At 40.3% G+C, this 27,586-nt stretch overlaps 1 protein-coding gene and 1 pseudogene across 2 annotated transcripts in view, besides 1 other annotated feature; both read right to left on the bottom strand.

The window, feature by feature from the left end:
* CNGB3 (cyclic nucleotide gated channel subunit beta 3) overlaps positions 1-27,586 on the bottom strand; it is a 169,456-nt gene that overhangs the window by 3,964 nt on the left and 137,906 nt on the right. For both annotated transcript variants that reach the window (NM_019098.5, XM_011517138.3), the window contains 3 exons: positions 25,951-26,069; positions 964-1,110; positions 547-721 (listed from right to left, as the gene is read on the bottom strand). In NM_019098.5, coding sequence (NP_061971.3) covers positions 547-721; positions 964-1,110; positions 25,951-26,069 — 441 coding nt within the window. The remainder of the gene's footprint in view (positions 1-546; positions 722-963; positions 1,111-25,950; positions 26,070-27,586) is intronic.
* Positions 13,922-14,480: an enhancer, noted in NCBI's record as "H3K27ac-H3K4me1 hESC enhancer chr8:87604292-87604850 (GRCh37/hg19 assembly coordinates)". NCBI's record gives its function as "activates a minimal SCP1, AML or CMV promoter by ChIP-STARR-seq in primed H9 embryonic stem cells {active_cell/tissue: H9 hESC(primed)}" and the evidence as "EXISTENCE:reporter gene assay evidence [ECO:0000049][PMID:30033119]".
* Positions 15,424-16,454, bottom strand: MIOXP1 (myo-inositol oxygenase pseudogene 1; annotated as a pseudogene).

A 27,586-nucleotide genomic window follows, 5' to 3' on the forward strand; every position in this document is an offset into this window, starting at 1 on the left:
TCGTGATCCGCCCGCCTTGGTCTCCCAAAGTGCTGGGATTACAGGTGTGAGCCACCGCACCCGGCCAAGGGTCATTCGTTTATAGTATCAGAGCTGAAACAAGAAAGGAGAGTGCCTCTTTTTTCAAACTCAGCTGAAAATGTATGCATCAAGCAACTTAAATTTTTTGCCACCCTGCACGTGCTGTTGTCCACAAATGACCACAAAAGCACCATGAGTATTGATTTTAAGTTACTAATAAATTATAGTAAGTAGATTCACCAATATAGAATCTGCAAATAATCTATGAATAATGAGGGTATACTCTGTTTATAAATACATGCATATTAAAGCCATCTATAAACATCCTGTGAGGGTTAAATGTGATGATATGTGGGAATTCAGCAGTTTAAATAATAATGTGCTATATATAAAGCAGGAAGTATTAGTATTAGATTAGTCCAAATCATCCCAGTGTCTGAAATGGAATTAGAGTGGGCGTTTGTGTGTATATACTTAGTCTGGGGCCTTCTCCATGACAGCCGTCCATTCACTCCACCTTATTACCTGAGCTGCTTGCTCTCGCTTCAATTTGAGTAGTCTTGCAAGACTTGCTTTTCCTGTGCCTCCTAGGAGAGTTTTAAACAGTTTGGGTGTCTCTTCTTTCGGTGGGAAGAGGAGGGCAAGATCTTTTCTTGGAGGGGTTGCTTCTGCGGTCTTAGCCTTCTGCTTTAAAAGCACTCTGTGGGTAAGAGAGAAAAGCTGTTTTAGGTAACTCTGTGAGAGTTCTGGCAAAATCTACTAAAAAAACTGCAATTTATCCTAACCTGTGTAGTTTCAATGGGTACCTACATTAATAGTTGTTCATTAAGCATATCTCACTGTGATCAAGTTTATCACAATCATAATACGGTTCTCCCTATCTCAGAGTTTACAAAGTAAAACCAACTCCATCCATCTCTAATGGTGTTTTAAAGGTTGTACCTGGCTTTCTTCATGAGGATCCTTTCAGAATCTGGATAATGCACTAGAATTTCTTGGAGGGTCTTTTTGTCTAGAGTTAAAAGATTGGCAAACCCGTGGGCCACCACATTGGCAGTTCGACGGTTTCCTCCTCCTGCTGCTAGAAGGCTGTAAGAGAGAAAAATGAGTCTTTGCCACCAGTTTCAGTTTTCCTCCACTGAAATCTCTTTAAAAAAATAGCAACTATTATAAGTATTTATACTGCTTCAGAAATCATTCCCTAGAGGTGAGGGTCCAGGTGATTGTGCAGAGAGTGTCAAGATGTGGGAATAGAAATGGCTCAGTTTTCAATATATTTTTTCTCTAACTCTCACCTCTAAGTCCCACAAATCAAGGACTTGTGGCTGTCAGTATCCTGTCAGATCCTTCATCCCAGATTCCAGAAATGCAGAATCCTTTTGGACTGGGTATCCCTCATTTGCTCCTTCAGATCCACTTTTCACCTCTCCCCATGCTCCTTTGTTTCCCAGGAAGCTGACCTCTGTAGGCTTGCCCTCTGACTTCACTTGGGCTCAGCCATTGGAAAAGACTAATAGGAAATCAGAAAGCAGGAAGAGAGTGGGATCAGAGCATTTATCTCCCCTGTTATTTTCCTGCCAAGCCTTAGGTTAGCAGTGGCTGCAGTTCTCTACCAAAATCTACAGCTCCTGACACATGGATGTCTTCTAGAAGTGCAATTCCCATCACTCTTGATGAGTTCTGGTAAACATACCCTCTTCTTTTCCCATTCAGGCCTCACTGTAGTAACAGTTCCTTTGCTGTTGCTAAATTTGAGATGCATTGCCACCTTTTGTTGGTGTAGTAGTCCATTTTCACCTTGCTATAAAGATACTACCTGAGACTGGGTAATTTCTAAACAAAGGATGCTTAATTAACTCAATTCTGCATCACTGGCGAGGGCTCAGGAAACATACGGTCATGGTGGAAGGCAATTGGGAAGCAAGGCACATCTTATATGGCAGCAGGAAAGACAGAGAGCAAGGAAGTGCCACACTTTAAAACCATCAGCTCTCCTGGGAACTCACTCATTATCACGAGAATAGCACGGGGGGGGTGGCGGGGGGAACTGCCCTCATGATCCAGTCACCTCCCATCAGGTCCTTCCCTCAAAACATGGGGATTACAATTTGAGAAAAGATTTGGGTGGGGACACAAAGCCAAACCATGTCAGTTGGGTACTCTTAGACTTTTCCTCACTTCTGTCAGTAATCTCTTTATTAAAGTTTACTCAATTGCCTCACTTGAGTGTGTCTGTTTCCCACCTGGGCTCTGGCTGATACAACTCTCAACATCAAATGTGAAAGCCAGCACTTCATGATGCCCTGGTCACCTCAGGTGAATCCAATCTCATCTCCTACTATACTCCAAAATCAACTTGTTCCTCAGTGTCATAAGCTGCTCTATAATATAGTCATTCACATACATCTCCCCACCTGGAATGCCAGGGAATTGTGGGCTTTATGTCTTGGAGGGATATAAAAGAGCATTTTGCATTTGAGAAATAAGCAAAAAAGAGTGGGGGAATAAACACAGAAAGGAATAAGATAAATGAATAAAAAGTCTGTCGTTACCGGTGATCTGAGAAGGAAGGATTGGTTTGTAAAAACAGAACAAGAAAAACCACATTTCAAATGTTTAAAAAAGACACCATAGGATCTGCATTGAGAGGATAACACAACAGATTGAACCCCTTGGAGTTAATCTGTTAGAAACTGAGAAAGAAGGATCACATTAACAAAAGCAGTTTCTACAGGTGGAGAAGACAGAGAAAACACTCTGACCTTTGGAAGCAATGAGATATAAGAAGCTGCATGGGCCCTGTGCCTGAAGATTTATGTTATACAGTATGAACAACTTCTGTTGTTGCAGAAAAGGGAGGATTCCAGTTGGCTGTTAATTGTTAAAAAACTTATATAGGGTTTTAGCTCTGACAGGTTAAGAGCCTGGAAATCATTACTCCTGTCCTTACAACAAGAAAAAGCTGCACAATTGAAAAATTAACGACTTTTCTTAGATCCTTCAGAGAACTGAAGTCACAGGGCAAACTACCGCCCCCAAATCTGGAGAGAGAGGTGAATCCATAAAACTACAGCCATATCTGCTTACTGCAGCAGAAGCCCCTGGAGTCATAACTGGTAAGAATGCTTAAATGCTCATTTTAATAAATTGTTGGAGGCTGAATGTGGACTAGCATGAGAGTGAGAAACTCTTGGGGGCCATGGTTATAAAGTCACTCACACTTTTGTGGGATTTACCACCAGGAACCTCATCAGGTTCTTAGGGTGAAGAGCCAAGGAAGATCCCCTCTCGGCTCTGGCAGGCATAGGGGAAGATTAATCATTGTGAAATATACCCAGAGCATATTTGTTCTCCATACCGCAGGCCTACTATTTAGAGAAAAATACTTTACCAGAGCTTTGTGCTACCTGAGGGAAGAACATTTTTCCCAATGCAGCCCCTTTAAGACTTCCTGTCTTATCTAAGGGAGATGGAAAGCTAAGAAACTCCTGTGAATGTCACAGCATTGGGAAATACAAAAAACTGAAACTTTATCACAGAATTATAAATTGTTTCCCCTTCTCCATACCTTACCCCCCCACCAAGTCTCCTATATAATACTAACGAATTACAGCTGAAACAGCAGCAAGATGCAAACCCTCTCTGAGAAGCCTCTGTAAGCCCAGTCAACAGTGGAGACAAAGACAGGGAACTAGAAGGAATTTGAAGCCTCTGGCACCAACAGCTATACCAAATGTTAAACACAGCCCGAGTCCTAGCCAAATTAGTATAAAATGTCACACTAGAGGCCTGTTTACCTCAGTCCATATTATTTGTTACATAATTTTTAGCTTTGAACCACAAAAAACAAAAAAATTATAAGGAATTCTAAAAGGGAAGAAAAAACAGTCCAAAGAAATAAGCAGCAGAAATAGACGAAATATGACACAGATATTGGAGTTATTAGGAAATATTTTAAAACTATGATTAATATGTAATCCCAGCACTTTGGAAGGCTGAGATGGGTGGATCACTTGAGCTCAGAGTTCAAGACCAGCCTGGGCAACATGGTCAAACCCCATCTCCACTAAAAATATAAAAATTTAGCCGGGCATAGTGGCATGCCCTGTGGTACCAGCTACTTGTGAGGCTGAGGAGGGAGAATCGCTTGAGCTCAGAGGGTGGAGGTTGCGGTGAGCCAAGATTGCACCACTGCACTCCAGCCTGGGCAACAGAGGGAGACCCTATCTCAAAAAAAAAAAAAAATGGCCTAGAACTTTTCAAAATTAATGTCAGATACAAAACCATAGATCCAGGAAGATAGGAGAACATTAAGCAAGATAAATGCCAAAAGAAACAAAACAAATGAAAAACCCCCAACTTCTGGGCATATCATATTCCAACTGCAGAAAACCAAAGACAAAACCTTGAAAGAATCCAGAGGGGGGAAGTACCTAAGATAGAGAGAAACAAGGATAAGAGTTGTAGCAGATTTTTAAATTAGAAGCCACACAAGAAAGACAGTGGAGTACAGTATTTAAAGTGTTGCAAGAAAAAACTACCAACTAGAATTCTATATTTAGGGAAATGACCCTTCAAAAGTAAAGAAGAAACAAAGTCATTGTCAGAAAAACAAAAACAGAGGGAATCAATTGCCAGTGGCCTTGCCCTGCAAAAAACATTTAGAGTTCTTCAGGGAGAAGGAAAATGATATAGATCAGAAACTCAGGTCTACACAAAGAAAGGAAGGACATTTAAAAAGGCATAAATGAAAGTAAAATATTTTGTCATTCCTTTTTGTTTTTTTTTTGAGACAGAGTTTTGCTGTTGTCACCCAGGCTGGAGTGCAATGGTACAATCTTGGCTTACTGCAACCTCTGCTTCCTGTAGCTGGGATTACAGGTGTCCACCACCATGCCTGGCTAATTTTTGTATTTTTAGTAGAGAGGGGTTTCACCATGTTGGACAGGCTGGTCTCGAACTCTTGACCTCAGGTGATCTGCCCACCTTGGCCTCCCAAAGTGCTGGGATTACAGGCATGAGCCACCATGCTCGACAATTTTTTCGCATTCTTAATTGTTATAAAAGACAACTGTTTAATAAAGTGGTAATGTGTTTGGTAATTATAACCTATGGATAAGTGAAATGAAAGACAGCAATGTCATAAGGGCTGAAAGGGAAGAATTGGAAACATTCTGTTGTAAGGCACCACATGTGAAGTGGCATAGTGTTATATGATGGTAGGTTCAGATTAGTTCAAAATGCATATTGAAAACTTTAGAGTAACCATTAAACTTTAAAAAATAAGTATAATTATTATGCTAAGGGAGAAAAAGAAAATGGAATCATATAAAATGCCCAAAGCCAGAGAAGGAAGGAAAAAAGTGGGAGGAAACTGGTGTAAGGCCACTCATGGCTTCAAACTTGGCCACTTACCTGCACCTAGCATTAATGACAGGGTCCAGGACTCTCCAGGCCACTTAAGAATTGACTTAGACCTGGCAAGGTGACTCACGCATGTAATCTCAGCACTTTGGGAGGTTGAGGCAGGCAGATTGCTGGAGCCCAGGAGTTCGAGACCAGACTGGGCAACATGGCAAAATCCCATCTCTACAAAAAATACAAAAGTTAGCTGGGCATCGTGGCACACACCTGTAGTCCCAGCTACTTGGGAGGCTGAGGTAGAAGGATCACTTGACCCTGGGAGGTTGAGGCTGCAGCAAGAGCCATGGTCACACCAATACACTCCAGACTGGGTGACAGAGTGAGACCTTGTCTCAAAAAAAAAAAAAAAAAAAAAAAAGGAATTCCTCCTCTAAGGCAGAAAGTATATATTTGGAATCTTTAAATATGTTCTCAATGATTTCACATTTCAAATTTTTTCCTTTGTGGAAAACCACTAACTTTAGTCTTTTCCTAAGGTACTCTTAAGACAAGCTCCACCTTTGTCAGAGAATACAAGGGAAATAAATTTTACCCCATCTATCTATGTATCTACGTATCATTCTGTCTGTCCTCTGTTGTCACAACCATATCTTCACTCATTCATCTACTCAGCTTTCTTCTATCTACCTTCTTCCCTTTCTATGAAATTGACGTTAATATTTGAAGGACAATGATTGGATGAGTCTGTTTCATTCACATTCCTGTTGTCATGGACACAGGGTAATCCTGTAGTTATGCAAGGCTGGATGGGATTGGGGAGGTTAATTTGAACCTGAGAATATCTGTATATGTATGTTAGACTATGAGAATAGAACGGAAATAACATATTTAAATGTCAGGTTATTTTGAGATTTCTCAAGTTTTAATTAAACTTGCCTACAGGTTACACGTTTGGAGTGCTTGATGAGTTTTTAAATGGAAGAAATAGTCTGTCTGCCAGATGGATTTTGCCCAAACTCTTTCAGCAATGTTTAAAATAGCATCTTTTTTTTTTTTCATCTTGTCCACAAAATGCTTCTCCAGCATTCCACCCATGGAAAGTTTCACTCATTAAATAGCCTAAATATTCCCAGCCCCACATAGAGTTTCTGAAAGAGCCCATGCTGGAGTACAAAGAGTTGAGGTTGCTATTGTTTCCCTAGGTAAAAATAGAGTGAGCAGAGCAATGGACCAGGAAACAAAGAAATGGTTCTAATCCTAGAGCCACCTCTATTTGCTATGACCTTAGACAATAACATAAAGACTTTTTTGATTTCCACTCTAATCATGTAAGTATTTATTAAGTGCCTACCATGTATTCAGTACAGTGAAGTGGGTAAAAAGGAGAATTATTAAAGCATGGTATGGTTTTGTGAAAAGAATACATACTTTGGAACCAGATAATCCTACCATCTACTGTGTTTCTGAACAGATTACTAATGTCTCCTGTAGGAAACAAGGCCATATTTAGTACCTACTATAGGTATCTGATTATCTTTAAGAAGAAATAGTACTAGTGTGCCAAAGTTGAGTACTAGTGTGCCAAAGTTGGGTGAATGAACAAAAGCAGGTGTGAGAATGTTATGGAGAAATGGTGTATTCAGGGACTGTGTAAGATAACTTGTATATGCAAAACTCAGTAAATGTGAGGAACAAGTATACACACACATACACACATACATTTTCACATACATACATAAATAGCATATGCAACAGACATTTATATACATATACATTTGTGTGTATGTATATATATATATATTTATATATTTTTTCAGACAGAGCTAGAATATTAAGATAGTCCCTGGTCAGTCATCCATTCCAAGCTTTGTCCAGGGCTGCCACATGTAGATTACACATTGCATACAAACTGTAATGTGATTGGAGCCCTCTGGAGTTGTGCAGTGTACAACCTGCACAGCTCTTTTTAGTAGAGCTACTGTATCCAGAAAGAACTCACAAGGAAAAGTAGAATACAAAAGAGCATAAATTGAATGTAGGAGCAAAACAAAAACAAGAATGGGGACATAAAATGGAATTCATAAAAAAATGAACACTTTGGCACAGTGGGGCTTCAAATTTAGGTGTAAGCCTTCTGTACCATAAAAATGGATCCAGAGTTGGCTTAAAGACAGGCAGAAATATCTCCTGAAGGGCTTAGTAAAGGGGCCATTCTGCAAAGTGGTAGAAAACTTCATATTCTTGCGATAGACACAACAATAAGCTTGCTAGGAGCATTTGTAATAGAGCCCCCAGTAAAGGCTATGAATCACTTTCAAGTAAAGTTCAGTAAGAGTAAGTTTATGGATGGAAGGAGATAGGTCAGTACAATGCATTTCAGATACCCAGCTCTCTCTTTGTTGCTCAGACATGATCAATGGTATACATTTAGAATATTCAGAGAAACAAATAATCTGTTTTAAACATTTGTCTTTCTCAGAGAGGCTTTGATAAGTACTTTTTTGGATGCATCCAAGATTGTACAGATGATTGTGCTTTGAAGGTCAATCATGCAAGGGAAGATAAAGAATTCACTGTATAAATGGAAAAGAAAAGGAAAAAGATAAATTAGGAGTACATAGAAATAGCATACTCTACAATGGGCTAGATACTCTGCCAACTTCTGGGGCTATAAAGATGATTAACACCTGCCCTCAAGCTGTTTGTAATCTAGGCATGGGGTAAGTGTGTATGCAGATAGCCAATTAGCAAATATTATTACTACTAAGAATATTGTAATAGTAACATTAATAGATAATATTTTTTTTTAAATTTTTTTTTAATTATACTTTAAGTTTTAGAGTACATGTGCACATTGTGCAGGTTAGTTACATATGTATACATGTGCCATGCTGGTGTGCTGCACCCACTAACTCGACATCTAGCATTACGTATATCTCCCAATGCTATCCCTCCCCCCTCCCCCCACCACACAACAGTCCCCAGAGTGTGATGTTCCCCTTCCTGTGTCCATGTGATCTCATTGTTCAATTCCCACCTATGAGTGAGAATATGCGGTGTTTGGTTTTTTGTTCTTGCGATAGTTTACTGAGAATGATTATTTCCAATTTCATCCATGTCCCTACAAAGGACATGAATTCATCATTTTTTATGGCTGCATAGTATTCCATGGTGTATATGTGCCATATTTTCTTAATCCAGTCTATCATTGTTGGACATTTGGGTTGGTTCCAAGTCTTTGCTATTGTGAATAGTGCCGCAATAAACATACGTGTGCATGTGTCTTTATAGCAGCATGATTTATAGTCCTTTGGGTATATACCCAGTAATGGGATGGCTGGGTCAAATGGTATTTCTAGTTCTAGATCCCTGAGGAATTGCCACACTGACTTCCACAATGGTTGAACTAGTTTACAGTCCCACCAACAGTGTAAAAGTGTTCCTATTTCTCCACATCCTCTCCAGCACCTGTTGTTTTCTGACTTTTTAATGATTGCCATTCTAACTGGTGTGAGATGGTATCTCATTGTGGTTTTGATTTGCATTTCTCTGATGGCCAGTGATGGTGAGCATTTTTTCATGTGTTTTTTGGCTGCATAAATGTCTTCTTTTGAGAAGTGTCTGTTCATGTCCTTTGCCCACTTTTTGATGGGGTTGTTTGTTTTTTTCTTGTAAATTTGTTTGAGTTCATTGTAGATTCTGGATATTAGCCCTTTGTCAGATGAGTAGGTTGCAAAAATTTTCTCCCATTTTGTAGGTTGCCTGTTGACTCTGATGGTAGTTTCTTTTGCCGTGCAGAAGCTCTTTAGTTTAATTAGATCCCATTTGTCAATTTTGTCTTTTGTTGCCATTGCTTTTGGTGTTTTAGACCTGAAGTCCTTGCCCATGCCTATGTCCTGAATGGTAATGCCTAGGTTTTCTTCTAGGGTTTTGATGGTTTTAGGTCTAACGTTTAAGTCTTTAATCCATATTGAATTGATTTTTATATAAGGTGTAAGGAAGGGATCCAGTTTCAGCTTTCTACATATGGCTAGCCAGTTTTCCCAGCACCATTTATTAAATAGGGAATCCTTTCCCCATTGCTTGTTTTTCTCATGTTTGTCAAAGATCAGATAGTTGTAGATATGCGGCGTTATTTCTGAGGGCTCTGTTCTGTTCCATTGATCTATATCTCTGTTTTGGTACCAGTACCATGCTGTTTTGGTTACTGTAGCCTTGTAGTATAGTTTGAAGTCAGGTAGTGTGATGCCTCCAGCTTTGTTCTTTTGGCTTAGGATTGACTTGGCGATGCGGGCTCTTTTTTGGTTCCATATGAACTTTAAAGTAGTATTTTCCAATTCTGTGATGAAACGCATTGGTAGCTTGATGGGGATTGCATTGAATCTGTAAATTACCTTGGGCAGTATGGCCATTTTCACGATATTGATTCTTCCTACCCATGAGCATGGAATGTTCTTCCATTTGTTTGTATCCTCTTTTATTTCCTTGAGCAGCGGTTTGTAGTTCTCCTTGAAGAGGTCCTTCACATCCCTTGTAAGTTGGATTCCTAGGTATTTTATTCTCTTTGAAGCAATTGTGAATGGGAGTTCACTCATGATTTGGCTCTCTGTTTGTCTGTTGTTGGTGTATAGGAATGCTTGTGATTTTTGCACATTGATTTTGTATACTGAGACTTTGCTGAAGTTGCTTATCAGCTTAAGGAGATTTTGGGCTGAGACAATGGGGTTTTCTAGATATACAATCATGTCATCTGCAAACAGGGACAATTTGACTTCCTCTTTTCCTAATTGAATACCCTTTATTTCCTTCTCCTGCCTGATTGCCCTGGCCAGAACTTCCAACACTATGTTGAATAGGAGTGGTGAGAGAGGGCATCCCTGTCTTGTGCCAGTTTTCAAAGGGAATGCTTCCAGTTTTTGCCCATTCAGTATGATATTGGCTGTGGGTTTGTCATAGATAGCTCTTATTATTTTGAAATATGTCCCATCAATACCTAATTTATTGAGAGTTTTTAGCATGAAGGTTGTTGAATTTTGTCAAAGGCCTTTTCTGCATCTATTGAGATAATCATGCGGTTTTTGTCTTTGGCTCTGTTTATATGCTGGATTACATTTATTGATTTGCATATATTGAACCAGCCTTGCATCCCAGGGATGAAGCCCACTTGATCATGGTGGATAAGCTTTTTGATGTGCTGCTGGATTCGGTTTGCCAGTATTTTATTGAGGATTTTTGCATCAATGTTCATCAAGGATATTGGTCTAAAATTCTCTTTTTTGTTTGTGTCTCTGCCCGGCTTTGGTATCAGAATGATGCTGGCCTCATAAAATGAGTTAGAGAGGATTCCCTCTTTTTCTATTGATTGGAATAGTTTCAGAAGGAATGGTACCAGTTCCTCCTTGTACCTCTGGTAGAATTCGGCTGTGAATCCATCTGGTCCTGGACTCTTTTTGGTTGTTAAGCTATTGAATATTGCCACAATTTCAGATCCTGTTATTGGTCTATTCAGAGATTCAACTTCTTCCTGGTTTAGTCTTGGGAGAGTGTGTGTGTCAAGGAATTTATCCATTTCTTCTAGATTTTCTAGTTTATTTGCGTAGAGGTGTTTGTAGTATTCTCTGATGGTAGTTTGTATTTCTGTGGGATCGGTGGTGATATCCCCTTTATCATTTTTTATTGTGTCTATTTGATTCTTCTCTCTTTTTTTCTTTATTAGTCTTGCTAGCGGTCTATCAATTTTGTTGATCCTTTCAAAAAACCAGATCCTGGATTCATTAATTTTTTGAAGGGTTTTTTGTGTCTCTATTTCCTTCAGTTCTGCTCTGATTTTAGTTATTTCTCGCCTTCTGCTAGCTTTTGAATGTGTTTGCTCTTGCTTCTCTAGTTCTTTTAATTGTGATGTTAGGGTGTCAATTTTGGATCTTTCCTGCTTTCTCTTGCGGGCATTTAGTGCTATAAATTTCCCTCTACACACTGCTTTGAATGAGTCCCAGAGATTCTGGTATGTTGCGTCTTTGTTCTCGTTGGTTTCAAAGAACATCTTTATTTCTGCCTTCATTTCGTTATGTACCCAGTAGTCATTCAGGAGCAGGTTGTTCAGTTTCCATGTAGTTGAGCGGTTTTGAGTGAGATTCTTAGTCCTGAGTTCTAGTTTCATTGAACTGTGGTCTGAGAGATAGTTTGTTATAATGTCTGTTCTTTTACATTTGCTGAGGAGAGCTTTACTTCCAAGTATGTGGTCAATTTTGGAATAGGTGTGGTGTGGTGCTGAAAAAAATGTATATTCTGTTGATTTGGGGTGGAGAGTTCTGTAGATGTCTATTGGGTCTGCTTGGTGCAGAGCTGAGTTCAATTCCTGGGTATCCCTGTTGACTTTCTGTCTCGTTGATCTGTCTAATGTTGACAGTGGGGTGTTAAAGTCTCCCATTATTATTGTGTGGGAGTCTAAGTCTCTTTGTAGGTCACTCAGGACTTGCTTTATGAATCTGGGTGCTCCTGTATTGGGTGCATATATATTTAGGATAGTTAGCTCTTCTTGTTGAATTGATCCCTTTACCATTATGTAATGGCCTTCTTTGTCTCTTTTGATCTTTTTTGGTTTCAAGTCTGTTTTATCAGAGACTAGGATTGCAACCCCTGCCTTTTTTTGTTTTCCATTTGCTTGGTAGATCTTCCTCCATCCCTTTATTTTGAGCCTATGTGTGTCTCTGCATGTGAGATGGGTTTCCTGAATACAGCACACTGATGGGTCTTGACTCTTTATCCAATTTGCCAGTCTGTGTCTTTTAATTGGAGGATTTAGTCCATTTACATTTAAAGTTAATAGTGTTATGTGTGAATTTGATCCTGTCATTATGATGTTAGCTGGTTATTTTGCTCATTAGTTGATGCAGTTTCTTCCTAGTCTCGATGGTCTTTACATTATGGCATGATTTTGCAGCGGCTGGTACCAGTTCTTCCTTTCCATGTTTAGCGCTTCCTTCAGGAGCTCTTTTAGGGCAGGCCTGGTGGTGACAAAATCTCTCAGCATTTGCTTGTCTGTAAAGTATTTTATTTCTCCTTCACTTGTGAAGCTTAGTTTGGCTGGATATGAAATTCTTGGTTGAAAATTCTTTTCTTTAAGAATGTTGAATATTGGCCCCCACTCTCTTCTGGCTTGTAGGGTTTCTGCTGAGAGATCCGCTGTTAGTCTGATGGGCTTCCCTTTGAGGGTAACCCGACCTTTCTCTCTGGCTGCCCTTAACATTTTCTCCTTCATTTCACCTTTGGTGAATCTGACAATTATGTGTCTTGGAGTTGCTCTTCTCGAGGAGTATCTTTGTGGTGTTCTCTGTATTTCCTGAATCTGAATGTTGGCCTGCCTTGCTAGATTGGGGAAATTCTCCTGGATAATATCCTGCAGAGTGTTTTCCAACTTGGTTCCATTCTCCCCATCACTTTCAGGTACACCAATCAGACGTAGATTTGGTCTTTTCACATAGTCCCATATTTCTTCAAGGCTTTGCTTGTTTCTTTTTATTCTTTTTTCTCTAAACTTTCCTTCTTGCTTCATTTCATTCATTTCATCTTCCATTGCTGATACCCTTTCTTCCAGTTGATCACATCGGCTCCTGAGGCTTCTGCATTCTTCACGTAGTTCTCGAGCCTTGGTTTTCAGCTCCATCAGCTCCTTTAAGCACTTTTCTGTATTGGTTATTCTAGTTATACATTCTTCTAAATTTTTTTCAAAGTTTTCAACTTCTTTGCCTTTGGTTTGAATGTCCTCCCGTAGCTCAGAGTAATTTGATCGTCTGAAGCCTTCTTCTCTCAGCTCGTCAAAGTCATTCTCCGTCCAGCTTTGTTCCATTGCTGGTGATGAGCTGCATTCCTTTGGAGGAGGAGAGGCACTCTGATTTTTAGAGTTTCCAGTTTTTCTGTTCTGTTTTTTCCCCATCTTTGTGGTTTTATCTACTTTTGGTCTTTGATGATGGTGATGTACAGATGGGTTTTTGGTGTGGATGTCCTTTCTGTTTGTTAGTTTTCCTTCTAACAGACAGGACCCTCAGCTGCAGGTCTGTTGGAGTACCCTGCCGTGTGAGGTGTCAGTGTGCCCCTGCTGGAGGGTGCCTCCCAGTTAGGCTGCTCAGGGGTCAGGGGTGAGGGACCCACTTGAGGAGGCAGTCTGCCTGTTCTCAAATCTCCAGCTGCGTACTGGGAGAACCACTGCTCTCTTCAAAGCTGTCAGACAGGGACATTTAAGTCTGCAGAGGTTACTGCTGTCTTTTTGTTTGTCTGTGCCCTGCCCCCAGAGGTGGAGCCTACAGAGGCAGGCAGGCCTCCTTGAGCTGTGGTGGGCTCCACCCAGTTCGAGCTTCTGGGCTGCTTTGTTTACCTAAGCAAGCCTGGGCAATGGCGGGCGCCCCTCCCCCAGCCTCGCTGCCACCTTGCAGTTTGATCTCAGACTGCTGTGCTAGCAATCAGCGAGACTCCGTGGGCGTAGGACCCTCTGAGCCAGGTGCAGGATATAATCTCGTGGTGTGCTGTTTTTTAAGCCCGTCGGAAAAGCGCAGTATTCGGGTGGGAGTGACCCGATTTTCCAGGTGCCGTCCGTCACCCCTTTCTTTGATTAGGAAAGGGAACTCCCTAACCCCTTGCGCTTCCCGAGTGAGGCAATGCCTCGCCCTGCTTTGGCTCACGCACGGTGCGCGCACCCACTGACCTGTGCCCACTGTCTGGCACTCCCTAGTGAGATGAACCCGGTACCTCAGATGGAAATGCAGAAATCACCCGTCTTCTGCGTCGCTCAGGCTGGGAGCTGTAGACTGGAACTGTTCCTATTCGGCCATCTTGGCTCCTCCCCAATAGATAATATTATTGAGTGCTTACTATGAGCGAGATATTTTCCCAAGTTCTTTTTTATGTTTTAATACACATAATAATTTTCAATCTTGTGAGGTGGTCATGTATTAGTGTTTCTCCATTTTGACTGATGAAGAAATGAAGTCTCAGTTGAGTAACTTGCCTGGAGATACATAGCTCATAAGTTGTGGCACATGGATGCAAACCAATCAGGCAGCCTTCTTAAGCAGATGCAATTTAGAATGATTAATGCTTTAATAATTGTAAGAAATGAAAATATTTCCTAAAATAAAGAAGGTTCTGGTCTAAATACATTTTCTCATGTAGAATTATTTCCATATATATATATAACTCTACATGCTATCAATGGAAAGAACATCATATTCAATGCTGAGTAAGGGATTAAAACTCCAAATATTTGTTCTCATTAAGGAAATTTCTAACTGGGTTTTATTTCGGAAACATGAGGTTAGATAACCTGTGTAGACTTTTTCTGAGATATCCTTTCATCTTTGTCAACATTATTAGGAAACACTTTATTCCTTGCAACTTTAAAACTTGACTAAAAATAAATTCTAGCAAAACTTTTATGGCTAGGCAAATATCAGAGGATGTTCTAAGGCCACCTCTGCCTGGGATTTTTGATCTTTGCAGATACTTTGATATTCATAAAAGTACTGAATGGCAAACACATGTTAGCCTAGATTTTTTTTCTGTAAAACATTTTGAGGAATGTCTGCACATACAGATTTTTAACAAAATTAGAGAGTTTAGATATTACAGATATAAAATGCTTAGTCCCTTTTCCCCTTAGCAGGTCTTGATTTCAGAACTGAATTGGCCTTAGAGAAGTGGATGAGCGATGAAGAATCTGGGTATAACTTCTAAGGAAGGAAAGAGGAGAAAAAGGATAATGTGGACTCTTTATTCCATGCTCTGTTTATTTATCTTCCTTCGAGTTTCCCAGAAGAATACTTAACTATGGTACTTTGGCTGGAAAATACTGTATCAAAGAAGCCTATACTAATACACTAGCCTAACTAAATGTTTCTTTGGAGTGAAAACCAGGTAACTATGTGAAATATTTGTACAAAGTTTATAGTTTTAAAGTTTTTTTTAAAAGTAAATCCCTTTATTTTCCTATGTAATGACCATATCACTTTGGTGAGCTAGGTGTTTTGTTTTGTTTTGTTTTCTCTCTCCTTCGAGGTCTTTATTGCCACTAGGTACAAATGGCCATGAGAGGTGGTGGCTATAAGGGGCGAGTGGGGTTCCCCACTGAGGTGGACCCTAATGGTGTCTGTCTGCCCACAGCCAGACCTCACTAGGCACGCTGAGGGCCAGGCCTGTCGTCCAGCAGTGGTGGGGGTGGAAGAAGCGTCACCAGCTCAGGATGCCAGGGCAGTACTTATCAATGAGCCCCTGGTAGTAGGGCCGCAGCTTGTCCACATCTGTCAGGTCAGGGAAGTTGGTCAAATTGAACTCCTGGACCCCGGGCAGCATAGCCAGGTCCTGCTTGCTGCACCACTGCTGGTAGTCACCGCCTGTGTGCCAGGGGCAGAAGGAGTGGAATCGGATCCTGTAGGAAGCCTCCAGTGGGAGCGAGAACTTGTTGAACATCATCACCTGGTACAAGTACTCCTTATGGCCCTAGGACATGAGGACCCTGCCAAGCCCACAGTAAGCTAATACATGCCCAGTTTTGTGCTGTATCCAGGATCCTGGAGGTCGGGATTGTCCTGAAAAGTGGACTTACAAAACCACGGAGGTCTGGGGACAGCATCCAACGGGGAATGTGTCTCCAACGATCACCCACTGGGGCTCCCCCAACAGGGCCAAGACCTTCCCTAGGTCATAGAAGCCCAACAAGCTGGAACCAGTCCTTGCCTGGGTGAGCTTTCGGATGCCCTCCGCCATCTGGAAGGCTTGGAAGGAGTGGGAGAAGTCTACACCTGAGTCTGATTCGTCCACCAGCCCATGCAGCAGGTCCACGGCCTCCATGACCTTCATTTTCTTGTAGGAAAAGTCCCCAAACCAGGCGTGCTTGCTCCTGACGAAATCCACTGTGTGGTGCATGTTCATGAGCTTGTCGGTGGTAAAGACGTGGTCCAGGAGGGGACCCGACACGTAGCTCTGGAAGCCAGCCTTGTCTTTGGCAGCCTCTTGGTCCACTTCAGGTCGGTAGACCAGGGAAGGGTCTGGGTCCACTGTCACCTTCACCCTGAGAGGGATGCAAAGCGCAGGGCAGCGAGTGTGTCCCTGACTGGGACACCTGCTGAGGGATGTCTGCAGGCCCAGCCTCCCGCTTGCCCCTGGCTTTAGACAGCTTTTTTGTTTGTTTGTTTGTTTGTTTGTTTGTTTTGAGAAGGAGTCTCGCTCTGTCACCAGGCTGGAGTGCGGTGGCACAATCTCGGCTCACTGCAACCTCCGACTCCCTGGTTTAAGCGATTCTCCTGCCTCAGCCTCCCGAGTAGCTGGGATTACCGGCACGTGCCACCACGCCCAGCTAATTTTTGTATATATATACATATATTTTTAAGTAGAGACAGGGTTTCACCATGTTGGCCAGGATGGTCTCGGTTTCCTGACCTCATGATCCCGCCACCTGAGCCTCCCAAAGTGCTGGGATTACAGGCGTGAGCCACCGCACCCAGCTGGTGAGGTAGGTTCTTAACCTATACTTACAGACAAGGAACTGAGGTCCAGAATCAGTTAAGTGAATTGTTCAAGAACAAATATTTAAGAATTTCATCTCTGAAATTAAAATCTAAGACAATACCTGACTTCAAGTCAAGAGGTCTTTTCTTTAACCATAACTCTAGTGATGCCAATGAAGTTACTGCTGTTGTTTTAATGATACAGATTTGCCCCTGGATATTAGGAAAAATAAGGGAGGAACCCAAACAGGCTGGTGTGATAAGACATGTCAAGGTATGACTCTCAGAATCTTTACTTCCTCTCTGCTCTTCCAAATGGTGGCAAAAAGCCTTGATTTAGCACTGGATAAAGTTACTTTAGGAGGAATCCTGAGGATATTTGAATGAATATTTAAGCAATGACACTGATTGTATATTTGTTCAGTGGGATATTGTGGGACTTAGATGAGGTATACTTTTCATGCTAAGCAAAAAGGTGCTATACAATCAAAGAGACTATATTCAAAAGGATGTAGTGAAAATGTAAATATGTACTCTTAACACAGGTAGTGCTTACAGGTTTGAGATATGAAAAAAATGAAAATGAAGTTTTCTCTTTCAGTATTAATCGAGTCTTATCTCTGCTCATACTTTTAATCTCCTATTGTATCTACTATTTCTACTTTTTAGGAAAGAGGAAAAAAGGAATAACTGAGTTATTCTGATGAAGAGTAAGAATATGGAATTAAAATAGTCCAAAGACCTAAAAGTCTCCTCTGGTACTCCAATTTTAAAAACTGAGTATTCAGAAGAAATAGACAATAATGATTTAAAGGTTAAAAGGAGTTTTAAGATGATTTGTCAAAATATTTCGCCATTTCACATTGATATAAAGTAAATATCAGAAAGAAATTCTCAAATAGGTGATTTGACTAATGTAATAGGGGAAAAGACAGCATTTAAATGTTTTGAATGGCAACCAGATATCTAAAACATACAAGAATATATCAATGCCTGAATTCTACTCAATAACTTGTTATCTGTGATGAAAAAAGGATGGTGAACAATGAAAGAAATGCAGAAGGTAAATGATCACGTTTATGAAAATAAATGGGCCCATAGGAAATCAATTCATTTAGCAAATATTTATGGAGGAACTATTATTTCCAGGCACTATTTAGAGAACTGCAAATTAAAATAACCTATTAAAATGCAATGGCAATGGGGATAATAAAGTAATATCAGTAATACTGAAGAAAAATAGCTATACATTGTGATTTGTAATGCAAATTGGTTCAATTTTTTTCTGGAAAATAATCTGCCCATATATTACAAGAGTTATAGAAATGCTTCTACCTTTTGGCCTACTTATTCCGATTTTTGGGAATTAAACCTCAAATAAATAAAATAAAACAAAGTAATTTTACAAAGATAAATATAGCAGTGTTATTCTTATAATGAAAACTGACAAAAAGGGCACAAGGCTGAATATGCATATTCACGACAAAAATGAATGTGCATTTGTACATTCACAAAGATAGAAAGATAATTACATTCACTTATTTATTCAATAACTATTTATTAGGCACTTATGTGGACCAGCCACTGCCCTAAGGGCTGGGGATAGAGTATAGAACAAACCACACATGGTGTCTAGCAGGACCCCTTGGTGCCTGTGTAAAGTGTCTTCATGCAAACAATAAAAATGGGGCTTTTCATGCACACGTATATTTATCGCTGCTCTGTTCACAATAGCAAAGACTTGGAATCAAACCAAATGTCCATCAATAATAGACTGGAAAAAGAAAATGTGGCACATATGCACCATGGAATACTATGCAGCCATAAAAAAGGATGAGTTCATGTCCTTTGCAGAGACATGGATGAAGCTGGAAACCATCATTCTCAGCAAACTATCACAAGGAAAGAAAACCAAACACCACATGTTCTCACTCATAAGTGGGAGTTGAACAACGAGAACACATGGAGACAGGGAGGGGAACATCATACACTGGGGCCTGTCGGGGGTGGGGGTCTGGGGGAGGGATAGCATTAGGAGAAATACCTAATGTAAATGAGTTGATGGGTGCAGCAAACCAACATGGCACATGTATACCTATGTAACAAACCTGCATGTTGTGCACATGTACCCCAGAACGTAAAGTATAATAAAAAACAATGTGGCTTTTCTAAGCATGTGCAGTCCTGTGCTTGGCTAGAAGAATGCCTCCTTTCACAGAGTGAAAGGTAACTGTGCATGAGAGGGAGCACAACAGCCAGGGCTCATGGCTCAGAAGTGGAGTGAGAACTGGGTTCCTGCCCTCCCGGTTCCTCTTTGGACATTCTGGTGCAGAGAACATTTGGCACAGCCATAGGTGGTAGTTCTGGTGCTTGCAATTTAGGAAGGAAGAAAAACATTGAAGAAATAAATGCACTAATGCATGTATAGTTACAAAGATAAGTGCTCCAAAAGAAAGGAACATCATTGGATGAAAGTGTACAGCAGGGAGACCTCGGAGGTCCCTATAGTGGGGAATCCAGGAAGGCCTGAAAGAAGCTGAGATCTTGGTAAAAGGGTGGGGAAAGCATCCAGGCGGAGGTAATAGAATGTGCAAAAAACTCCCTGTGACTGGATAGAGTGTGGTGCATTCAAGGAATGGGAAGACAATGGGTGTCTGGATTAAAGAGAGCAAGGATGGTTAGGCGCAGTGGCTTGTACCTGTAATCCAGCACTCTGGGAGGCCGAGGCAGGTGGATCACCTGAGGTCAGGAGTTCAAGACTAGCCTGGCCAACATGGTGAAACCCCGTCTCTACAAAAATACAAAAATTAGCTGCGCACGATGGCGAAACCTGTAATCCCAGTTACTTGGGAGACTGAGGTTGGAGAATCACTTGAACATGGGAAGTGGAGGTTGCAGTCAGCCGAGATGGTGCCACTGAACTCCAGCCTGGGCGACAGAGTGAGACTTCATCTCAAATAAATAAAATAAAATAAAATAAAATAAAATTAAAATAAAATAAAATAAAGAGAGCAAGGCGAGTCAGGTGCAACCTGAAGTAGAGAGGTAGGCAGGGGCTAGACTCTACAGGATCTCATAGGTAAGGAAAATCACTTTGTTCTTATCCCTAAAAATGGCATGAAAACATTAAATGGTTTTAAGTGGGAGGGCAGTGATATGATCAGATCTGTGTTTCCAAAAGATCCCTCTGGCTGCAGAGTGGAGACTGATTGTGGAGGATATGGTTATTGGATTTGAGTGACTTGAAGTAAGCCACTGCAGTTGTCCAGTGAGAGATGGATGAACTGAAGTAGTGGCAGTGGAGAACATAAGATACAAATGATTTGTGACTTTCTTTGGTGGTAGGATTGACAGGTGTTGAAGGCGGAGTGTCCATGTAGGGTGAAGTAGAGTGTCAAGCATGTTTTGTTTATCCCCAGTAAAATTTTGAAAGTGAACAATTTAAATAATTTGGTATTGTATTAGTTTCCTAGGGCTGCTATAACAAATTATCACAAAACAACTGACCTACAACCACAAAAATTTATTATCTCACAGTTCTGGAGGCCAGAAGTCCAAAATCAAAATATCAGCAGGGCTGTGTTTCCTCTAAAGACTCCAGTGAAAAATCTTTTCTTGCCTCTTCCAGCTTCTAGTGCTGCCAGGCATTTCTTGGCTATGGCTGCAATACTTCAGTTTCTACCCTCAGTCTTCACATGGTCTTCTCCTCTTATGTCTTTTATAAAGACACTTATAAAAAGTGTCCTTAGGAAAAAGAACCCTCTTTGTCATTGGACTTGGGGCCCTTCAAGATAATTCAGGATGATCTCATCTTGAGATCCTTAACTTAATTACATCTGCAAAGACCCTGACCCTTTTTTTCAAGTTAGGTCACATACACAAGTTCCTAGGATTAGGATGTGGACTTATCTTTGTGGGAGACACCATTCAACCCACTACAGGCATCACGTCAATTATCCTTTACATACCCCTCAGTAGGGGTTTATAGGACTGACCTGTGTGCACACATCATTTGAGGACCAGTGAAGGTTTGTTGCAGGAAGTCAGGGACGCCAAACGGAGGGACCGGCTGAAGCCATGGCAGAAGAACGTGGATTGTGAAGATTTCATGGACATTTATTAGTTCCCCAAATTAATACTTTTATAATTTCTTATGCCTGTCTCTACTGCAGTCTCTGAAAATAAATTGTGAAGATTTCATGGACACTTATCACTTCCCCAATCAATACCCTTGTGATTTCCTATGCTTGTCTTTACTTTAATCTCTTAATCTCATCATCTTCGTAAACTGAGGAGGATGTATGTTGCCTCAGGACCCTGGGATGATTGCGTTAACTGCACAAATTGTTGTAGAGCTTGTGTGTTTGAACAATATGAAATCTGGACACCTTGAAAAAAGAACAGGATAACAGCAATGTTCAGGGAACAAGAGAGATAACCTTAAACTCTGACTGCCAGTGGGCCGGGTGGAACAGAGCCATATTTCTCTTCTTTCAAAAGCAAATGGGAGAAATATTGATGAGTTCTTTTTCTCAGCAAGGAACATCCCTGAGAAAGAGAATGTGTCCCTGAGGGTAGGCCTTTAAAATGGCCACCTTGGGGGCGGCTGTCTTTTACGGTCGCAGCTGTAGGGTTGAAATAAGCCCCAGTCTCCTATAGCACTCCCAGGCTTATTAGGACGAGAAAATTCCCACCTAATAAATTTTGGTCAGACCGGTTGTCTGCTCTCAAACCCTGTCTCCTGATAAGATGTTATCAATGACCATGCGTGCCTGAAACTTCATTAGCAATTTTAATTTCACCCCAGTCCTGTGGTCCTGTGATCTTGCCCTGCCTCCATTTGGCTTGTGATATTCTATTACCTTGTGAAGCATGTGATCTCTGTGACCCACACCCTGTTCATACACTCCCTCCCCTTTTGAAAATGACTAATAAAAACTTGCTGGTTTTGTGGCTTGTGGGACATCACGGAACCTGGTGACATGTGATGTCTCCCCTGGACACCCAACTTTAAAATTTCTCTCTCTTGTACTCTGTTCCTTTATTTCTCAGACCAGCCAACACTTAGGGAAAATAGAAAAGAACCTACATGAAATATCGGGGGTGGATTTTGCCCGATAAACGTTCAGCTTTTGGTTCCCAAATAACCTCTAGTAATTGCCAGATCCAAAGGATGCACTGGTCCTTGTGAAAACTTTGTCCCCAAAGCATCCTGTACACACTCTCTTCCTGGGACACAATTCATACATTTAATCACCTGGTATTGAAGTCTCTTCTAAGGCCCTGGAGGACAGTGATTGTTTCTTGTTCTCCTTTGTACCCTCATGACTGGCACTGTGCCTGGCAAAGAAGGAATACATGGCCTTCTTTGAGTCACTTTCACACTATGCCATAAGGGGACCCAAATATAATTTTCTTTTGTTTCTATCAAATCACAATTAAGTACTTAATTAATTAAAAATTGCTGAAGAGCTGTTGCAAATTATTTTTGAATGGAGGCATGATACAAGTAAAAATCACCACTTAGTATATAGTGTTTACGTAGCTGCTGGTGATATGAAGATGGATAAATTCTAGTTCCTTTTTTTTTTCTTTTTTTTTTTTTGTGACAGAGTCTCGCCCTGTCACCCAGGCTGGAGCGCAGTGGCGCGATCTCGGCTCACTGCAAGCTCTGCCTCCTGGGTTCATGCTATTCTCCTGCCTCAGCCTCCCGAGTAGCTGGGACTACAGGTGCCCACCACCACGCTCGGCTAATTTTTTTTTTTTTTTTTTTTTTTTTTTTTTTTTTTAGTAGAGATGGGGTTTCACAGTGTTAGCTGGGACGGTCTTGATCTCCAGGCCTTGTGATCTACCCGCCTCAGCCTCCCAACGTGTTGGGATTACAGGCGTGAGCCACCACGCCCAGCCTCTAGTTCTTACATTTTAGTAGCTCAGTCTGTTGGAGAGACCTGTCTGAACAAATTAATTATAAATCAGTAGTAATTACTGCAATAAATGCATGAATGAAATGCTATGGAAGCATAGAATAAAGAGTAACTAGTTGTTTTAGGGGTTAAAGATGGCTTCAAAAAGGTGGCATTTGAAGGAGGAATGAAAAATTTCCAGGGGAGGATATTCCGAAGAGAGATGAAACCAATAGAAAATCCTATTGAAATCATAATGGCAACACAAGAATAAAAACTCAGATGTGTTTTAAGAAAAATGACATTTTAACAGAAACAGAATGCAGACAGGAAGTGGTTAAATACATTCAGTGAATAAGACTTGGGACTAAATGTACGTGTAAGGAAAATGATGGACCTGGAACCACCACAAGGCCATCTCTCAGCAGACCCTGGGTCTCTCTTTTAGAAATGGGGTATCTGCACTCTTCAGATGATAATTGGAAATGTGGTCTGGGTTTTCTCAATGACAGGCTATTAATCTATATTTTAGTCAGGGTTTTGCTCTTTTGGATTAATATATAATGTCCTTGAAAGCCCTTAATGTTTTTCTTTATTTTTTTTTTTCCTGAGGAAAAAGAACTCTTTTAAAGGCTACATGATAGTGCTGGATTTAGCTCATTTTAACAAAGGTCACAGCATTTTTGAGTAGTAAACACTATTACTAGATCTTTCCAGTATCTGGATGTTTGGCAGGCATACCTCCAGCTCTGGAATAAATGACTAGAGCTTCAGCGGCATATGACAGCTGTGGGCCTGTGAAGCCTGTGGGTATCTGGAAAGAGGCAGATGCATCCTGTTTCCCCATAACCACAGCCAAAAAGAGAATCAAGGCAAAAAGCTCCCTTTTACTTGAATCAACCAAACTACTGAGCAAGTTTAAAGTTTGTCTGTTCTACTGGTTTCAATTTGGCCTTAGAAACCAAATGGGTAATAGGAGATTTATTTGAGAAGCTGCTGTCAGGAATCTAGGATTACTTTCAGTTGCAACTCAGAAACACCTGGATTCAATTCTTAGGGTATTTCCTCCTGTGATGATAATATCAGCAATTAACATACTTGTATTTATAAAGCTTATTCTTCAGGGAGTACTCAACCCTTGGGAAAGGTCAGCTAATTAATTTCTGCAGTGTTTCAGATTAAACTGTTGCATGTTTTATGACCTTGAAGATTACAGTGATTATTAAGTCACAAAATATTAAATCACTTTTGCAAGGACTCCCAGGAAGGAAATGATAGAAAACAGGCAAAGAACTCAGGTCTCGTATGTTCTGAGAAGTGTTTCCACCACTGCCCAAGAGCAAGATCCTCAGAGGATCACCTTAACAAATAATCAGTCGTTAAACAAGGAGAAAAAAATTAAAAAGAGAAGCCACATTAACAACAGAGAAATAACATGTTTCAACATTCCAAAGAAACCCTAACAATGCTAATATGAAGTCATCTAAAATTATCCATATTTCCAGAACACAAAGATAACTTCTTAGCAGCTAGGAAATTAGAGACTGGAAATTTCTTCTGTGACGTGGTATAAAGATCACTGGACCCCGATCCGTGGAGACCCAGGTTTGAATGTTGTCCCTATAATTCATTAGCAATGGTGTCCTGGGAAAGATATAGTACTTGGCATCTTGGGATAGCAATTTTCTCAGTTATGAAATGAATATATTAATAACTGCCTGACAGGGTACTCTTCTATTCATCATATGAGCCAGTATCTCAGTTCCAGACACCATCATCTTTCACTTGAGCCACCACAGTTGACTTCTAACTGGACTCTATTCATTCTTGCTCCTCTACTGTATCTTTTCCACATAGCTGTTGAAGTCGTCTTTTAAAATAATAATTCAGAGTGTGTCATTCTTTTGCCTAAAACCCTCTACTGGCATTCATTCATATTTAGAAAAAGACATAAATTCCTATCATGGCGTAAAAGACCATGTTATCTGGGTCTTGCTCACCTATTTGGCTTCATCTCCCCAGTGTTCTTATTCACTGTACTCCAGCCATATTGACCTTTCTACCCCTTGACCAGACAAACTTGCTTTACCTCTAGCCCTTTGGTAATCAGGCTCTTCACCCAATTCTGAATGGCTGATCCTTTTCTCTTTCAAATCTCAGGTCAAATATTATCTCCCTAGAGAGGTCATTCCTGACCACTGCATCTAAGTTGTGTCCTGTTACTTTCTAACCACTTTTTCCTTCATAGTAGTTATTACAGTGTGAATTCATCTTGTCTAGCTAATTAACTATTTATTATCAGTTTTCCCTGACTGGACTATAAACTCTGTTAGGGGCCATATCTTGTCTAATATTTTTATATAGTTTATTCCTAGAGTTAAGAGCAATACCTGACAATCTAGCACGTACCAGGCACTCCATAAATATTTTTTGGTTGAATAATGAATAAATGTGATAATGCATATAGAAGTGTTTAGCTCACAAAATGCTTAAATTTGCTGTCTATATTTTTCCTCTTGGGGAGTTTCTTGTTCTAGGATAAACTTTTCCTGGCCAATAAGAAGCAATGGTAAAAATAATTGATATTTATTGAGTTGTTAATAGATGCCAGGCAGTGTTCTAAGTGCTTTTAGTGAATTAACTCATTTACCAACACTTTAAGATATGTTCTATTATTATCCTAATTATTAAGGTGAGGAAACTGAGGAACAGTGGGGACAAGTAACAGAGGAAAAAAGCCAGTAGTGGTGAAACTGGAGTTTAAACTCAGGAAATTTGGTCCCACAGCTATGATCACATCACTAGCCTACGCAAGACCCCCTTGTTAGCAAGGCTTTCAAGTTTTCCAACAATCTGGTAACAATGAACCCTCCAAACCTCTTCTCTCATTTACTAATTCATTTGCACATCCATTCAACATATACTGGGAACCTGCTTTACGCCAGGCACTGCTCTAGGTCCTGGACTAAAGAGCTGAATGACCCAGTTCTTTTCCTTAGGTCGCTTTGGTGAAGGGATGAATAAAAATATGAAAATCCTTATTTTACGAATGCTCTCAGCACAATCAAACCTTTGATAAATCTGAGCGGGAACTTATTTTACTACCTAAGACTTTTCTTTTATGACAAATGATGGACTTCAATATTTATGAAGTATCTTTCAGATACCTGATTTCTCCAAACACCGACCCAGCTTTCAGAGTAACCAGAACTTTAGTACCATCAGGGCCTCCAAGAACTTGGACTTCTCCATGCTTGATGATATACATTTCCTTGCCAATTTCTCCCTACATTTTAAATATAAAGAGGAAATGGTAGTTACTTTATTCTTGATAATTATGCTGTAAATTAAGAAATATAAATTCTTTTAGAGGAGTAAATATAAATGAAGGAAGCAAAGAACATTAGTGTAAAATTAATTATCTTAAGACCTAAAGTATTTACAGACATGGGTTGAACATATCATGTGAAAGAAAATGATTAGGAAGATGATACTTCTCAACACGTGAGTACTGTTTGCCTCCCTTGGATACATGAAGATATTTCAGTTAGCACATTGCTTTAGGAAGGACCCTGGGTAGAGGAAGTAATTGATTTTAAGCATGGTCGAACCTGGCTTTGATGACCACCACTATGCTTGGAAGAAGTTGCTTGGTCTAGCCAAAGAGCATAGACTGCAGCCTTTCAAAGGTCAATTCTATTCATCTACCCATGGCATTGAGGTCTGATTTGGGGAATTGGGGCATAGGAGATCTTTGAGTTATTATTAGTATTCCATACTGAGATAAAGTATTAATGCAGCAGGTTGTTTTACTCAGTTCTTGCCTATCTTTGGGGACTCTTGGGACCAGGGCAATGATCTTTGTTCAAGCCCTAAGAATTAAACTCCTGGAATGTTCACATAGCCACTGGTTAATGGTGTTATTCTATATTCCTGAGCCAGTATAGCAGGATGTATCAGGCTGTCAACACTATTTAATATAATCACAAAGATTTATGATGTGTACCTTGTACATAGTTTGAAAGTCTGAATCATGTCTGGTCATGCAGCTATATGCGCCATTTAAGAACATTGGACCCAAGACTAATATGAGCTTCCACCGGTGGAGATATTTTGCTCATGTTTCTGTGGTCCACTGGAGAGAAAAATGCATCCATGTGACCCTCATAGAAATAGGACCTAGTAAGCCTGTGTCTGATTTCTCTCGTGTTTGCCCATGTATATCTTTTTCTTGCTATTCTTGCATTTTATCCTTTGCTATAATAAATCTTAAGCCATAAATATAACTTTATGTTGAATTATATGAGTTCTTACAAGTAAATCACCAAACTAGTGGGTGGTTATGAGGCCCTTGGAACACATCTTCTCTAACTTCCAAAAAGAATAGATGTCTTACAAGAGACCTAAATGGCACTTAGGTCAAGAAAGGCTGTTAAACTCTAAATAGGCCAGATTGCATAACACTAGGCAAACTATTTGGCTAGTAGTACCTACATGTCTGAATGAGCAGTGCCTTGATCACCTTGAGCTATAAAAAAAAATAGCATTAATACAATAAATTCACTTACTTGGCTTAGGAGGGGACTGGGTTATTTGAGTTAATCAAATATTCTCATTAACCATACTTTGAAAGAATTAGAATACACTAAAATCAACTCGAGATTAAAAGATTTATTTTTTATTTTTAAAAATATTTAGCCTACATCATTCTTTGGAAGAAAAAAATATTGATTGTAGTTTACTCTCTGAGATGGCTGAGAGAATGTCTACTTTGTTGCAGTGCTGAACGCAGGCTTGACATAT

Source organism: Homo sapiens, chromosome 8, assembly GCF_000001405.40.
Source record: "Homo sapiens chromosome 8, GRCh38.p14 Primary Assembly".
NCBI classification, from domain to species: Eukaryota; Metazoa; Chordata; class Mammalia; order Primates; family Hominidae; genus Homo; species Homo sapiens.